The following is a 17794-nucleotide window of genomic DNA, read 5'->3' as shown; positions in this document are numbered from 1 at the left end:
ACATACAGTGCATATTCTTACACACATGCACACATACACAAACATATACAGATATATACATATATTCTAACATACACACATATGAATGAATAAAGCAAATACGGCAAATTGTTAAAAACTGTTGTTTCTATGTGGTAAACATACAAGTGTTCATTGTAGTATAATTTCAACTTTTCTATATGTTTGAAATTTGTTATAATAAAAAGTTGGGATAAAAAGCAGAAAGGAACTGTTTGAAATGAACACCTGTGCTGTGGTTGACATATGTCCCCAGTAGACTGGAAATTTTTTCCTCATTCTAGGTATTACAATTTTAATCAAGCAGCTGAAGATCAGATTGGCCATTTTGGCAACCACATGATTAAATCTTGCTTACCTGCTGTGATCTAAACCCTAACTCTATTTTTATGCTCATGTGCTGTTCTATAATCCCACCCATGCCAGCCTGCACAAGGACAGTGGGGTGGGGACTGTAGCCCAATAACAGTTGTTCACTTTGAATGATTCTTTTCAGGTTTGTGTTACATACATTTTTTGATATTTGTAACTTCCTTATCTTTCTCCAAATCATTGGGGGAAAAGGTGAAAAGAAGGTCAGGTTTGCGGATATAGCCCTTGCCATAGTCCTAGAAACTTCATTCCAGGATTATCCTTTGGTGCTGAAACCTAAAAATCTACCTGATCATATTTCTGCTCAGAGCATCTCTCCATCTTCTCCATAGAATCTCTCTCTCTTTGTTGTTTTTGAGAATTGCAATGATACTGTTCATTTTCAGTTTCATAGCACCACTTAGGTTCTCTAGGATTCCTTCCAGATCATCCACAGAAGTTCAATGTTGTCAATTTCAAGGTCTCTCAGTCCCTGGGGATTATGTCAGGAGACTTGGATGGATTTAGAGCACTTATATCAGGGATCCCAAACTCAGATGTCTATAGGACCCAAGCATGGGTGGTGGGTGGGAGGGAGACAGTGAGGAACTGGTGACACCCATTGAAAGTTAGCGGCACCCATCCGATTTTGCCATCCAGGAAGAAGTGCCCAACATTGCCAAATTGCCTAACTTTGCAAGAAACACCAGAAATGCCAGGGTTCTTTTGTTTTTGTTTTAAAAGAAGAAACATGTGGATTTTAAAATATTTGGTTTCCACTTTAAACTTGCAATTCCATGCAGGTCCCACAAAACTCATCACAAGGATGCATCCTGAGAGCAGCTGCTTTGGAGGAAGGTTCTCCCTGACCTGCTCGTTCTTCCATGGGATTCATCTTCCCCACACCATGGTGCTGGAATGTTCTGCTTGACTTACGGCGAAAGAGTTGTCTTATTTGTTGTTGTTGTTGTTGTCATCTGGTTTTTGTGTGTGTGTCATTTTCGCCATCTGTCCTGATTGCCCTACAGGCCACAAGCCACAGACCTGCTTCATCCTTGTTCTTCTCTCCTAGCTCTTTTTGTTGCCTTAGGAGTTTCTGTAACCCCAGTACACATCAGGCCTTAGTCTTCCTAGTGCTATTGTCATAAACTCACATGCCTCTCCTATTCCCCAGAGAATATGATGCCATTTCTCTCCGTTTTATTCATGTGCTATTTAAATCTGAGCTCACCAGAGAGTTCCTTGGGCTGCCTTGCTGTTTTATTTTATTGTGTGCCCTGTCCCTGACCTTTTAAGTAATTCTGACTCAAGCACAAGCCCGCCAGGAGCCAGTAGGTGACGGCATTCGAGGCAACAGCTCAGGCCCAGCCCCTCCACCCACCTCCCTTCCGTTCTAAAACTGGCTGCTTCTTGGCTCTATTTCCACCTGAACTCTGAACTCTTATCACCTAGACCCTGGTGCGTATGTCGGGCTCCTTCAACTTACCCATCCTTCCCTATTTGAAAGCGGGCTGTCTCTGATAGACTTGGTCTTGGCTCATTCCTTTAGTGTCTGATGTGTTTGGAAGTAACTTCATACGGTCTTCCTGTTCCCAGAAGACATCAAATCCTGACCCACTCCAAGTTCCACCTGTAAGACAAGTCTCATCTCTTCCTTCTCTGCTCTGCCTGCACAGAGGAGCTAGTGGACTCATCTTATATAACCTCTCCTTTGCCTTCTTCACAGGGAACATAAGAATGAACCCCTTAGCGAGCACTTCTCAAGTGCCAAGCACATGCCTAAGTACTTTACCTGGATTGCCTCACTCAATCCCAAGCTCAGCCCTACGAGAGAAGAACCCTCACTTCTCCATTATGGGTAAGGAAATGGAGTCCCAGAGAAATGCAGTAACTTGTCTGAGGTCACACAGAGAGGACCCCGCTGAACTGAAATTTGAACCTAACTCTTGGCTCCTGTGCCATTTTTCTCTCACTGACAAAAGCTGGCTGTGGAGGCAAAGTACAACCAACCAGCCAAGAGACCAACCTAGATGCTTGGACACCAGGCTCTTGGCCCTAAAATGAACTCCAGACTCTTGCATGTGCACACACACAGGCACACACACGTACTTCTTAGAATGTCAAAGGAGCCAGGAAGAATTCTCCATATTGGAGCCCTTGAGAAACAGCTCAGGAAAGAAGGCACCGATGGCAATGAAGTCTGATTTTCAGTATGAACTCATTCTATAAACATTGACTAAGCGTCAGTGACACGTCCGGCTTTGAGCCGACAATGGGAACAAAGCAGTCAAAAGAGACACTCAGGCCTTGCCTTCATGGAACTGTCTTCCCCGTGCACTGAATGAGCTGTTGGGAAATTTTCTTCACACGCACTCACTCACATCCGCTGCACATACTCCATTCAGAGAGACCGCCTCTGGTCACAGACATCGAGGCAGAGGGAGACCACTTTAGTTCTTATTCCAACTGGATCCCTACCAAGTAGCTCCATTTTCATGGTTCTTTTTAATGATGTCCAAGAATCTTATAACCCACAGTGAGGTTATGTTTTTATAGTCTTTTATGGTCTTACTTCTATGATATCACCACATTCAATTTTGCAGTTTCTTTCTTTTAAACGTGTGCTCGGGGATCTCTGGCAGGCCTTCTATTTCTTTCATTTATTCCCAACCCTGGTCCATGAGCATACATTGAATTGTTAGTTTCCTGATACCTCATTCATATGATGATTACTTTTACAGTTTTCCAGTAAATAGCTCCTGTTACTTTTGCCCGGGTTCTGCTTCCTGCTGTCATACAGACCATTTAGCACAGGTATGGGGCTTGTATAACCTGCACCTACTTGGTTGCAATGAGCTTGGCTGCAGTTAGACTTGAGGTCTTTCCATCTGCAGCTGGACGGGCTAATAGGGCAGGTTGGGGATGGTAGCCTCTCTCTTCTCAGGACATTCATTTATTTCATTCATTCAATTTTTGTTTGCTGACTATGTGCCAGGACTACTGGGGATACAGCACTAAAAGTAGACAAAAGGTCAAATATTCCTACCCTCATGGAGTTTATTTTCAAGGCAGAAGAAATCACAGAAACAAAATGAGCAAGAGATATATGAGTAATATATAGAGTGTGTTAGCTCTATACAGTTGATGATTCCAGGTTAGCTGAGGATAAGTGCCATGATAAAAAAAAATAATAAAGCAGAAAATGGCGAGGGAGGGCTACTGAGAAGGTGGCATCTGAGTGGAGACCAGGGCAGGAAGGGGGTGACCATGCCATCATCCATGTGGGAAGTTAGAGGATGAGGAAAGAGTACATGTAGAGGCCAAGTTGTGGGCACCTACCTGGCATATGCAGGCATAGCAATGCAGAGAGGGATAGGAGATGGAGTCAGAGAGATCAAGGGGTGTAAGATCAAGGAGAGACTTACGAGCCATTGTAAAGACTTTGGTTTCCACTCAGGATAAAGGGAAATCATCAGAGAGTTTTTAGTGGACAAGGGACATGCTACACATAACAGGCCCACTCAGGTTGCTGTGCAGAGAACAGCCTAGATAGACATGAACAAGGGTGGGAGGGAGCCAGCACTCTTACCCCATCTGTGGGTTCCTTCTGTGCCTTCTGCCACAGACACCTGGAAACTGGCACATGTGATGGAGTCCCACCCACCAGGGGGTCTCTCCTGTCAATCACTGCTGGGATTTCTAGGCCAACTCCCTTCTCTTTCTCTGAGCTTGAACCTCCTGGTGCTGGACAGACCTGTCCCTAAGCAAAGCTGTGACCAGGGTCTATGGTTCACCACAGGTACGTGTCCTTAGATGGGATGGAGGGAATTTGAACATGTATCTTGTGCCAGCTTCAGCACATTCCAGGCACCTGACATATGCCATCTGATTTAATCTTCACAAAAACCTATAAAATAATCACCACAGAACAGTTGATGATTCAGGGTGGATTTTGGTATGCAAATTCCACCTCTTGACCGTCTTGTCCTCTTGGGGTCTCACTGGTCTGAAACAAGGCAAAGCGAATGATTAACTTGATCATAGAAGTTCGGCCTCCCTTGAAAGCCAATGGGACTTCACATATAAGTTTTCAGCTTAGACCTCAGGAGCTGATAGACTCAAGATGACCCATTTGGTCACAGGCTAGGCTAAGCCCTACCTCAGGGAGCTGGCCACAGGATAAAGATGAAGCCACTGATGAGTGGAAACTTGAACCCATTAAAAATGTGCCTGAAAGCATGGCAGCATGTCACTGTCATTCTTCCCTTACTTACAAGGCATGAGCAGACACAAGGAGAAGCACCTAGATTCACCTCTTGCTGGATTATTTGGGGTGAGGTAGGAGAGAACGAGGTCAGGTTGGAGGAACATGGCTGTGATGGCTTAAACTCCCACCCAGTCGAGGATAGCCTGGCCCTTCCCTTTGAGATGCTCAATTTTTGAGTGTATGTGGAGGGAGAAAGGGAGACTTCTATTGTTCCTACCCCCCATCCTTCAGGCAGCATTCACTGAAGGTCAGGACAACATGTGTCACCTGCTGGCTGATTCCTAGAGGTCTGGAGGGTCAGTCACAGCCCAATGAACTCTTCCAGCAATGGAGAGACGTTATCAGAGATCTCAGTTCTAGGCTCTGATCTCCCGCGCAGGGAAGAATGATCATGGATCATGACGGTGTGAGCATTCTGAATAAGCACTGGGAGGTGGGGCATCAGTTCACCCACAGGGTCTTGAGGTCACTGTTAAAGGCTAAATTGTGTCCCCCAAAATTCATATGTTGGAGTCCTAATCCCCAAGACCTCAGAATGTGATTGAATTATGGTAACATGAGGCCATTAGGGTGGGCCTTAACCCAATCTGACTGGTGTCCTCATAAAGAGAGAGGTTGGGACACAGACACACTCAGAAGGAAGACCATACGAGGACACAGACAGAAGGCAAGCCAAGGAGAGAGGCCTCAGGAGAAACCAATCCTGCCTGCACCTTGATCTTGGATTTCCAGCCTCCAGGACTGCAGGACAATACATTTCTGTGGTTGAAGTCCCCCAGCTGTGGTGCTTTGTTATGGCGACCAGAGCAAACAAACCCAGGCACCTTGATGCCAATGCTGGAGAATTTGGATTTCTGAGCAGCAGCCTGGCTCTAATGCCCCAAAAGAGATAAAATCTCATATCAACATGACTCAGCTATAGGGTTGTAATTGTGAGTGAATGGAGTTGTGAATATCTTTGCTCCAATTTTATTCCTGTGGCCTTGATTCTACTGCTTAATCCTATCAGCCCTGGTTTTCTCCTCTCAACCACCATGTCACACTCCGCTCCTCTCCACCACCGCAACTCCAGATTGTTCTCTCAGTCCCTCATCACTGGACGTTACACACACCATGCCATGTTTTTTCCAGAATGTGGAGATGTACCCGGCATGAGCAAAAGCCTCATTTTTATTCCATGGCTTTGGCAGAATCTCTTTATCTGGACTTCTTCTTCCACTCTCTATCATTACTGATTTGAATCCTCTTTACTCTTTTGGAATCTGCACTTCCCTATTTTCTGACTGTGTCCATATGGTCAGAACGGAAGCCCTGATCCACTCCTGATTCTGTACCCATGCCAGACATCACTGAGCAACCTGGCATCCCCAGCCATTAAGCTGATTCAGGCATGAAAATCGTTCTCGATGGTGACTCGAGGTGCCTCTGCCAACAGATCAGAATAGTTAAGAAAAGGGAAAGCTTCTCACCTTCTGTGATCAGTATGTGGGAAGAGGGCGAGTTCTCAAGAATCTTCTTCTACTTTAGCTGGGAGCACAGAACACACACACACAAGTACGTGCGCACACTCACACACTCACATGCAATGGGGAGACTTCCCTCAGCAAAAAGATGTAGGCGTCCTGCCTACTGGTCACTGGATGTGTCCACTGACCTTACACACTTCTCCATTGTGTCTGAATGGTGGAGTGAAATTCTTCTCCTCCATGGCTCCCTTCAGTAATTCCCTAATTTCCTCAGTAAAGCCTCCATTCCCTCTCCAGCCCTGTTGGCACTTAGCATTGAGATTTCCTAATGGAAACCACTCTCTTCTGTTGGAATCTCAGGGTGTAATTAGCAGTCTGGGATTTCAGTTCCCTTGCTTTCCTTAGGATGAAGGCCAAGCCATTGCCAAAAATGCTGTCACCGTCAGTGCAGCTCCTCCTGGAAGAGAGCATAGGGGGGAGTTGTTTCATGTTGACTGTCTCCTGTATATTTATTGACTGAAACATTTGAGCTGTTGCTCTTCACATTTGTAATTTTAGATCACAGATGCCTAGCATGTTTAATCATACAGCAAAGCTCACATTAATGAGGAAAATGTCACATATATTGTTATCCACCATAAAAGCTGTGAAAAAATATCTCTGCCATCTGCAATGTGCCTTCTGCTGCTGCCTCTAACAATTTTACTAGTAACAATACAAAATTAACAGCAGGGCAAACACTTAAAAATGGAAACTTATTGAACTTCCTCCTTGCTCTACAAAACCAGATAGAAGTACAGACCACCTCTCAAAGTCATGTTGTGATACCTCGCCTGGGTTCCTGCAGCAACCCGCTACTGGATCTCCCGGCAGCCAGCACCCTCCAAATACATCTTTAACGTTTCTGCCAGAATGATTTTCTAAATCTGAGATCTGGAATATCAACCACTACTTAGAAATGTGGTGACGCCTCTGTGGTCCCGCCATGCCAGCCAGAACACACTGTGACCCAGTCCCATCCTGTCCTTCGGCTTTCCCTCCCACCAGCCCCCTCTCATACCCCACCTTCCAGCCAGGCCACATTGCCAGTGACTAACTGGGCCCACCATGCCCTCTCCAGCCTCCACGCAGTCTCTGACTACAACATTGTCCCCATCCTGTGCCTGGCAATTCCTATGCATCCTGTAACATCTGCCTCAAATGTCCGCTCTTCTGGGAAGTCTTCTGTGACCTGTGCAGGCAGAATCCATTGGTCCTCGTGTCCATGAAGTGATTCGTGACTTCCTCCATCTGGAGGACTTCTCACGGGGAATCTTCATGCTCTGTTTGCCAGTGTCGTCTTCTTCCACTCTGAGCTCCTTTATCACAAGGACAGTATTTCAACCACTGTTGCCTCCCAGCCCAACACAGCCATGGCTGCTTTTGTAACTGATTTGGATGCTACAGAATCACAGTGAATGGGGCAAGATGGGTAAGGATTCTTACCCAGGAACGCGCTCTTTTGACTTTGGCAACACAAAACCTTGCCATTACGCAGGCCGTGTTTATTTCTAGGGTTTCTCTCTGTACTTTAGCCCTTTCTGCTACCAAAAGAAATAACAGCCCTGTCAGTCATAGAGCAATTGATAGTGATAAAAATTCTCCTTTTAGACAGTGAGTTCACTTGTTCTTAAGTCATTCTTTGCCACAAACTGCAGGCTCATTATATGAGGAAAATGTGGTATCTCTGAGAAGCCACACTCTTAGAAGTTTATAATTTACCTCAACTGATGACTAAGGTCTCGAGGTTTTTACTGCTTATTTGAGTGTGGTTTGGGTGGGGAAGTGATGATAAACAAAGCTTCGTCTTACTCACTGGAGCTGGTCTGGAAACCACGGAGCAATACCTGTTCTTTGGAAAGGCACCTACTGCTTGCTTGGGGGTGTGGAGAGAAAAGGAGCAGTCCTCTCAAACTTAATCTCTGCTCTGAGCAGGTGCTCACTGTCCAGGATACTCCACCCTCCTATTCTTGTGCTCCATGCCCTGTCTGCTTCTGAGTTTCAGCCAAGACTTGCAGTTGCAAAAGGCTATTCCACCTGACATGACTTTGGGCAAGAAAAAATGGAATTTTGGGCAGGATATTGGGTGATCTCCACAAACCCAAAGAAAGGACACACGTGCAGATTTCAGATAGAAGTGAAATTCGGAAACAGGGAGCAGGAAATGCAACTCGGGCTGGCTTTTGCTCCCCGCAGTCTCTCCACACCCTCTTTGGTTAAATACAACCATCCCTGAAGCCTCAAGTTCATGGTCCTCCGTTCAGACTGACCAGATTCTCTCCACCCTATTTCTGAATTTCCAGTGCTAATGTATTCCAGAATTTCTCCCAGGAATCCACATTGGACAGAAGATAGGTGAATGTCATATGCGCAGAGCCCATCCCCACAGTGGGAAAAAGTGTGGGCTTCACAGACACCCTCAACGCTGATGGCAACCCCCTGCTATCCTTTCTTTTCCCCACACCATGTGAACAGACCTCCCTCAGCACCCGTAGAAGGAACCAACCCTGCCAACCCGACACCTGGATCTTCGACTTCTCACCTCCAGAACTGCGAGACAATACATTTCTCTTGTTTGAGCCACATGGCTTGTTATGGCAGCACCGTTTGAAGGGCAGCACACTGCCCTTCAAAAAGAGGAGACAGACAAGCTGGGCAGGGCAAAGGAGATCTCCCCAACATTGTAGGAGATCAGAATGGCTTGGCCATCATTGCTGAGGCCATAACTTACCTTTAACATGGATGGCCCCTTAAGTGGAGTATGAGGCAATTCAATTGAAGAGATTTTAAGAGTACATATGTCTATACCTATATCTGTATTTATACAGTGCTCATTAGCCAATGCGACTAGTGGCTACCATATTGGACAGCACAGATACAGAACATTTTCATCATCACAGAAGGTTCTGCTGTACAATAATGCTCATGAGAAGCAAATGATGTGAAAGTCATGAGACTAGGGCTCTAGAGCCCTGGCTGGGTTCCAATCCTCCTCCTCCTCTCCAATTTCGTGTGTGTGTGTGTGTGTTTGTGTGTTTGTGTGTGTGTGTGTTTATCATACCCACGCTTACCATGGAAGTCACTTAGGAACAGAGAACCTCAAGGTCAAACTACTCTTTGCCAAGGCTTGAAATTCATGGCTGTTTTTAAGAACACTTATTTACTTGATCATTTTTATTGTTGATCTTTTAATCTACTTTTCCTAAATTTCATCTTGGTTTTTTTTATTTTAGACAGTCTTCTTTCTGTTTGGCAAAACTATTGGTTGGACACTTTTGTTGAATTTCTTCTTTGTTCAGAAATCAACAAAAAACCCCTCAGGTTCAGAACTTCTTTTCTGTTGAGCATGTGCAGTTCAAGGGTTGAAAAAGACAAGGGCTCTGTCTTCAACAGTATGGAGCTGGGCTGTCCAATATGGTAGCCAATGGTCACATGTAGCTATTTAGGTTTAGGTTTAAATTAGTTTAAATTAAGTATGGAAGTCCCCAGTCACACTGATCAAGTGCTCAGTAGCCACATGAGACTAGTGGCTACCATACTGGACAGCACAGATATAGAAGATTTGTATCCTCACAGAAGTTTCTGCTGGACAGTACTGCTCATGAGAAGCAAATGATGTGGAAGACCTAGAGCCCTGGCTGGGTTTCCGTCCTTGTCTCCAATTTCCTGATCATTCATCTTAGGCAAAACATTTGATATTTTTCACTTTTTTTCCCTCTTCCTACTAAAAGAGAAGGAAAACTAGCTTGCTTACATAATGGACGTAGTTTGTGAAATAAAAGATATGTATACAATTTAGTGCAAAAAATATTTATAGAACAATTACCGTGAGCCAGGTATCACGGTAAGTCTGCAGACCAAACACATATAACACATTCTGCTAGCCTCATGGAGCTTGCAGTCAAAGAAGACAAAAATGAGGCCAAAAATAATTATAATACAAGCAATAACAAATATGCACAAGATATTGAAACTGGACAAAATGATACAAAGGTGGAATGATTAATTTGAGGGCAGTGCAGACATTTGCAGGAAGACCTCATATAGGAAGTGTTTCTGAAAGAGAAAGTTTGGAAGATGAATTGGAGTTTGATAAGTTGCACCCGAGTTTTGTGTATGGACTGTATACAATAAAATTCAGGTCTCTCCAGGCGCTGTGGCTCATGCCTGTAATCCCAGCACTTTGGGAGGCTGAGGCAGGTGAATCACGAGGTCAGGAGTTCAAGACCATCCTGGCCAAGATGGTGAAACCCCGTAACTACTAAAACTACAAAAATTAGCCAGGCATGGTGGCTAATCCCAGCTACTCAAGAGCCTGAGGCAGAGAATTGCTTGAACCTGAGAGACAGAGGTTGCAGTGAGCCGAGATCGTGCCACTGCACTCCAGCCTGGGCGACAGAGCAAGACTCCATCTCAAAAAATAAAATAAAATAAAAAAATAAAATCCAGGTCTCTTCTTTCCTCCTCCATTTCTTTCCTCCTCCATTTTCTTTACTGTGATCACAGCTCTACATCTGAAGTGTTCAAACCTTGGGCCGGGTGCAGTGGCTCACGTCTGTAATCCCAGCACTTAGGGAAGCCGAGGAAGGCAGATCACCTGAGGTCAGAAGTTCGAGACCAGCCTGACCAACATGGTGAAACCCTGTCTCTACTAAAAATACAAAGTTAACCGGATGAGGTGGCACATGCCTGTAATCCTTGCTATTCAGAAGGCTGAGGCAGGAGAATCGCTTGAACATGGGAGGCAGAGGTTGCAGTGAGCCAAGATCATGCCATTGCACTCCAGCCTGGGCAACAAGAGTGAAACTCCATCTCAAAAAAAAAAAAGTGTTCAAACTTTGTAGCCGAGCTGAAGAACACACTATTCAAACAGTCTTATGTGAAAGCAAAATGTGTAAAATGTATAAATGCAATGTAGGGTTCCACTTTGGGCCAACATAGAGTAACAGGTATCACATTTATCCTCTTGATGAAAATAATAACAACAACAATAAAACAAGTTAAAAACACCATCAGCTTTCAAGATACTAGACACCACCTGATGCAGGACAGTGATCACCATGAGGCAGGAAGCAAACCATGCAAGCCTTAACATTGCCCCTCTCTTGAAAGAGCTCCCAGGTAACAGTGCAGAGGGAGGAACCCACATGCCAGAAGACTCCATAATTTGATGAGACAGAGCTGAGAGGTTATATGGTTCCATTTACGTGAGATGTGCAGAAGAGGCAGACTTATGGAGCCTGAAAGTAGACAACTAGTTCCATGGGCTGGGAGGAGAGGCAAGTGAGGAGTGACTGTTAATGGCATTTCTTTTTGGAGTGATAAAAATGTTGTGGACCTAGACAGTGGTTAGGGTTGCATAACTTTGTGAATACACTAAAAAATTAACTGTATTGTACACTCAATAAGGGTGAATTTTATAGTATGTGAATTGTATCTCAATAAAACATTTACAAGATATAGTATTAAAGGCCAGGGAGAAATGAAACTATATTATACAGCTATTAAGTCACCAAGGATGTATTCTGTTATTTTGTTTCTTTGTTGTTTTTATTTCATCCTCTTTAGTAGACATCACTGCTGTTCATCAATTATTTCCAGTATTTTTCACTTCCGGAGGTATGCTAGGCTTGTACCTCTCTGCCCATGTGTTAGTCAGCTCAGGCTTCCAGAATAGAATACCACAGACTGTGTGTGCCTTAAACAACAGAAATTTATTTCCTCACAGTTCTGGAGGCTGGAAGCCCAAGATCAACAAGGTGCAGGTAGTGTCATTTCTGGTGAGGGCTCTTTTCCTGGCTTATAGACGGCTGCCTTCTCACCATGTCCTCACATCCCTTTCCTCTGTCCACACACTCCTGGGGGCCCTTATTCTAAGTCATAATAACTTAACCTGTCCCGAGTAATGCAGCCTCCATAATAAATATCATTATCTTGCTTGAGTTTCTTCATGTTTATAATTTTTAAAAATCATATAACATTTCAAAGAGTTAAGGTTTCACTTAAAAAAAAAAAGACCCCATTGTGGAACACATAAATTGTTTCCCATATTTCTCTATTAAATAATCAGACTGCAAAAAACTTATGAATCTGTCTTTAAAAAAACTTTTTTAAATTCCTTAGGTTACATCCACAAGTGAGATTATTAGATCAAAAATCCCACAATTTTATGGATGTTGATTTGTATAACCTTTTACTCTATTACTTATATAAATGTACCTATTCCACTATATCTTTATGATCATTAGGTTGTAGTATTGTTTTCGCCTTATTAAAGTGATATACAGATAATCCCCAACTTACGATGGTTCAACTTAAGGTTTTTCAACTTTACAATGGTGCAAAAGTGATACACATGTAGTAGAAACTGTACTTTGAGTACTTATACAGCCATTCTTAGTTTCGCTTTCAGTACAGTACTCAATAAATCACATAAGATATTCTCCACTTTTTGTAATAGGCTTTGGATTAGATGATTTTGCCCAGGTGTAGGCTAATGTCAGTGTTCTGAGAATGTTTTAGTCTCAGCTACAATGCTCAGTAGGTTAGGTGTATTAAATGCATTTTCAACTCACTATATTTTCAACTTATGATGGATTTATTGGGAAGTAGCTCCATTGTAAGTTCAGGAGCATCTGTATTTATACTTAGATTTGTGCAAAAATTCATTAAAAATCTGTGTAATTTTGCATAAAGCATAAATCAAGGGTGATTACTAGATTCTAAAAAGTAGTCTTCTGAAGTGCTTTTAAAGTTTGATTTGTTTCAATCAGCATAATGGGTGTGTCTAGGTCAAGTGTGAGGATTATATTTTGGTGTCCATCGAAGTAGGTGGGGTGTAAATTCTATGAAGGGCCGGACTGGCAGAAAGATGTGGTCCTCATGCTAGGTACTTCATGTAGTCATATGCACAATGAGCTTAAAAAGCAATTGGAGTGTCTTGGTCCATGTAGGTGGAACATTGAAGAGTGTCAAGAAGAGCTGGATGGGAGGTGCTGTCATACAGGCAGGGCTCTCTCTCAAGGTCAGCTCTGCCTCCTGTTGTATTGGCTTCTTCTGAAGGCAAGTTCTCTCATGAAGTGGGGAAGATGGCCACCACCAGCTTCCCAGTTTAGCAGCACAGGGAAAGTGAAACTCTCCTTCCCAACATACACATAGCCACCTCAAGGGAGGCCCTCCTGGCCCTGTGGAAATGCATACCCTTTGCATCAGTCCTTCCTCCTGTGGCCCACTGGGGGTGGTGTGCTGATGGACAACCTAGGACCACAAGGGATGGGGAGATGAGTTCTTCCAGGGATGGGGGATCCTGGACAGACCAAACAATAAAAGTCCCCTGTGTCATGCATCCTCATACAATCCTATGGCTGAATTAATAACTGAATTAAGGGAAATTCCAGATCAGCCTGAAGCATCCTGTAGCATCAGAGGACATGCTTTAAAAAATAGGAACACATCAAAAGCACACAGGAGTCATCCTGAAACAGTACCCAATGGCCAAAGCTGGAACAATCCATGAGTCTATGCCAATATAAGTAAACATGTGAATAAGCAAATACATAGGGAAAAAGAGACAAATCTTTCTCACAGAAGCACCACAAGTAATACAGGGGAGCATTGATGCAGCCACTTCTCCAGGAGGTGGGGCTTCATTGCTCTCCTAGTGAGTGTGGACTGGACCTGGTGACTCACTTCCTCTAGAAGGGTATGGAAAGAGAAAAATAGCAACTTCACAATGCAGTAATCTAGCGGATGCCACCACAACCAAGGGCTCAAGGTTAACATCACCAGACTTGAGTCATGGTGAAGTCATGTGCCCCCGAGGCGAGGCAATGAGAAGGGCACTTCACCCCATGGCACTCACCCCCAAAACATAACCCCAATCGATCACAGAAAACATCAGCCGAACTCAAAGCGATGCACATCATCCAGAATGCCTGATCAGCACTCCTCCAAAGGGTGATGGTCTTGAAAAAGAAACAAAGTCCCAGAAATGGGCATAGATGGGAGGAGATTAAGGAGACAGCCTAAATGCACTGTGGGATCCCGGATGGAATCCTGGAACAGAAAAGAGGCATGAGTGAAAAAAACTGGTGAAATACAAAAAAAGTCTGGAGTTTAGTTAGTAGTATTGTGCCAGTGTTAATTTCATAGTTGTGACAAACATGCTGCGGATATGTAAGATGTTAACAATTACAGGAAACTGGATGGAGAGTATAGGGAAACTCCCTGTATTATCTTTACAGCTTTTCTCTAAATCTAAAATTATTCCAAAATAAAAAGTTTGAGAAATTAACAGTGATTACCCATTCCATACTAGGCACTGATTTAAGGGCTATGCATATATTAACTTTTAAAAATCTTAACAATAACATTGAGGTATCTGCTATTATGATTACCACGCTAATTTTATGGATGAGGCTACCAAATCTGAGAGGTTTAGCGACTATCTATAGTCACGTGGTTCTGAGTGTGTGATTAGCGCCTAGGCAGTTTGGTTCTAAAGCCTGTAATCTGCAATCTTTAACTCTACATAACAAACTTTCAAGGAAGAGTTAATATCTGCACATTGTTTTTCCTCTTGAACACCCTTACCTTAGGAGAAAAACCTGTTCTGGTCTGCACAGCTCACAGGGGGTTCCCCTCCACTTATTCCCTTTGCATACACCTTCCTAAGACACAGGCTTTCAGATTGCAAGTGTTCCTAATCCCTAATACCCAGGCCCCACAATACTGAAAATTTCCAGAAAAGAAATGGAGTCAGCTTAGAAAAGAGAATTGAGAGAGAAAGAACCAACAAAAGGGAAATAATAAAATTTAGTGGGGGAAAGTATGAAAAGCAGTGCAAACTTGATTCCCTTACCAGAGTAACTCAGGGATTGAGGAGAAATGGCTTGCTGCCTTAGGTGTTGGTTAGAGACCCCAAATCACCCACGAGAAAAGTGCAGTGGGCCTTCAGCCTCCTGCTTTCACTCACGAAAAGCACCTGTTTTCTGCTCTGATAGAGATCAGTGAATACCAGCCACTGAATGACTCTCACGTGATATGCCTTGTGCTGTTAGTTAAAGCTCGTGCTCCTGAATTCTCACAATATTGTGCGTTTTATGCCCCCGTAGAGCAGGGGTCTCAGCCCAAACATGTCCACCACCTGATTTCATAGGGCCCACGAGCTAAGAACAGTTGTTATGTGACTAAATGGTTGAAAAATACATCTATGAAGACTATTGTGTGACACGTGAAAATTAGACCGAATTCAAACTTCAGTGTTCATAACTGAAGTTTTATAAACATAGCCTTGCCCATTTATTTACATATTGTCTACGACTGCTTTGACACCAGAGAGTGTGACCATATGGCTTGCAAAGCCTGAAATATTTACTATTTACTATCTAGCCCCTTGCAGAAAATATTAGTTGAGCCCTGGTATAGACAAAGAAACTGTGGCCTGGAGAGATTGAAAGAACTCATCTATAAGGATGCAAAAGAAACTGTTTTCTGGATGAGCCCTGGGGCATAGGTGTTCCTTACGGGGCAGGCAGGGAAGGAGGCGTGGGTGAGAAGGCTGGGTGTTTGCATCGTACCCTTCTGTGCTGAGGGTTACTCTACAGTGAGCATGGACTGCTTTGATCTTCAGGGGCCGCAAGTGGTGAGGCATCCTTCAAACCCAGACAGCTCAGCAAAGCCCACCCACTGAGTAAATAGGACTCATCCCAAGACATGAGGTTGAGGACAGTCACTCAGTTTGAATTTTTTCAGATCCTGGGTCATTTTGGAATATGACTGGGAGAATAAAAACTCCAGAAAGGCAATAAACTGATAGAATTGTAAAGGCAATAAACTGATAGAATTGTAAAGTGAAGTAAATCTTAAATGCTTTTAAATAAGTGAAAAGCAACCAAATAAGTCTCAATATATTTTCCCTCCAATAGTTAAAACACAAATTTAATGCCAAAATAAATGCACATGAATAGCCAAAACTTCCTTAAGACCTCGAATTCTTAATGCTCCAGGACTGAACTTATATTCCATGTGGTATCCCAAGGACAAGGTGTGTAAGAGGCATGAAAGAAGGCTTGGAAAAGCAAGGAAAATGTCCCCACGAATTAGAGACCAGTGTCTTGATAGTAGAGGTTTCCTGGATTCGGGATGTCCCCTCCTCAAGGCCACGGTAGAGGAAACTGACTACTCATTCATTCAACAAATATTAGGTAAGGGTCTGCTCTGTTCTAGCAGTTGCTCATAGAGCAAGACTGAGACAGGCAAGGTCCCTGCTCTTCTGAAACTTACATTCTAGTGGAGGAGAAAGGGAATAAATAAGACAACAAATTTTAAAACATCATTTCAGGCAGGAGTGAGTCCATGAAGCAAGCAAGCAGAGTGATAGGACAAAGATGAGGTGTCAGGTGCACTTAGGCTGAGTGGCCCAGGAAGGCTCTCTGGGCAGAGCCCTGAAGAAGAAGATGTCAGCTGTTTGGAGACCAGGGTAGGATTATTACAGACAGAGGGAGAAGGCAAGAGAAAGGCTCAAGGGGAGAAAGAGTAAGGCCTACTCAAGAAATAGGAAGTACACATGGAGCAGTATCAGTGGGGAGGGTGCCTGAGAGGGTGTTGGGAAGGGAGGGAGAAGCCATACGAGTGGGCCTTGGAGGCAAGAACAAAGAGGTCAGTTTTCATTCTGGGTAAGATGGTGTGGTGGGTTTAACTGTGTCCCCCAAAGATAGGTTCAAGCCCTAAGCTCTGGTGCCTGTGAATGTGACCTTATTTGAAGACAGGGTCTTTGCGAATGTAATCAAGATAAAATGAGGTCATACTGGAAACAGAGGGGCCTTAAATCCAATAATGGGTGTTCTTATAAGAAGAGGGAGGACTGGGAGGCCAAGGCAGGTGGATCACGAAATTAGGAGTTCGAGACCAGCCTGGCCAATATGGTGAAACCCCCGTCTCTACTAAAAATACGAAAATTAGCCAGGTGTGGTGGCGCACACCTGTAGTCCCAGCTGCTCGGGAGGCTGAGGCAGGAGAATTGCTTGAACCCAGGAGGTGGAGATTGCAGTGAGTCGAGATCGCACCATGGCACCCCAGTTTGGGTGATAGAGCGAGACTCTGTCTCAAAAGAAAAAAGAAGAGGAGGGGACACACCAGATACACACAGGGAGAATGACAGAGACAGAGATTGAATGATGCAGCTACAGGCCAAGGAGCACAGTGGATGGAAGGGCAGGGTGGATTCTGCCCGGGAGCCTTTGGAGGGAGCGTGGCCCTTCTGATACCTTGATTTTGGACTTCCAGCCTCTGAAACCGTGAGAGAATAAAGTTCTGTTTTTTTAAGCTTCTCAGTTTGTGGCACCTCGTCATGGGAGCCCTAAGAAACTAACACAGATGGGAAGCCACCAGAGGGCTTTACCAGAGGGCATGATCTTAAACCATAACAGGTGTTGTGGCTGTCATGCTGAGAATGGAATCAAAGAGGCTGTGAAGGGGGTGATGGTCAGGGTCAACTCACAGGTCAGAAGTGGCAGCAAACCTTGTCAGGAGCTGGGCTCCCATGGCACAGCCAAAATTCTGTAAAGGCTGCCAGGCACGATGCAGTCACACACGGATGCATCCACCTACATTCTTGAGGACCAAAAATTATAGAACCCAGATTAAGGCAGGA

The 17794-nt window shown here is 44.1% G+C and overlaps 2 annotated features.

Moving 5' to 3' along the window:
- Positions 1360–2559: an enhancer, noted in NCBI's record as "CDK7 strongly-dependent group 2 enhancer chr7:50905976-50907175 (GRCh37/hg19 assembly coordinates)". NCBI's record gives its function as "activates an origin of replication core promoter dependent on BRD2, BRD4, P300/CBP, MED14 and CDK7 cofactors, with strong dependence on CDK7, by STARR-seq in HCT116 cells {active_cell/tissue: HCT116}" and the evidence as "EXISTENCE:reporter gene assay evidence [ECO:0000049][PMID:35650434]".
- Positions 13240–14439: an enhancer, noted in NCBI's record as "MED14-independent group 3 enhancer chr7:50894096-50895295 (GRCh37/hg19 assembly coordinates)". NCBI's record gives its function as "activates an origin of replication core promoter dependent on BRD2, BRD4, P300/CBP and CDK7 cofactors, and independent of MED14, by STARR-seq in HCT116 cells {active_cell/tissue: HCT116}" and the evidence as "EXISTENCE:reporter gene assay evidence [ECO:0000049][PMID:35650434]".

This window comes from Homo sapiens, chromosome 7 (assembly GCF_000001405.40).
Source record: "Homo sapiens chromosome 7, GRCh38.p14 Primary Assembly".
Taxonomy (NCBI): domain Eukaryota; kingdom Metazoa; phylum Chordata; class Mammalia; order Primates; family Hominidae; genus Homo; species Homo sapiens.
The sequence above is the reverse complement of the archived record's forward strand: the minus strand, read 5'-3'. Positions and strand labels throughout refer to the sequence as shown.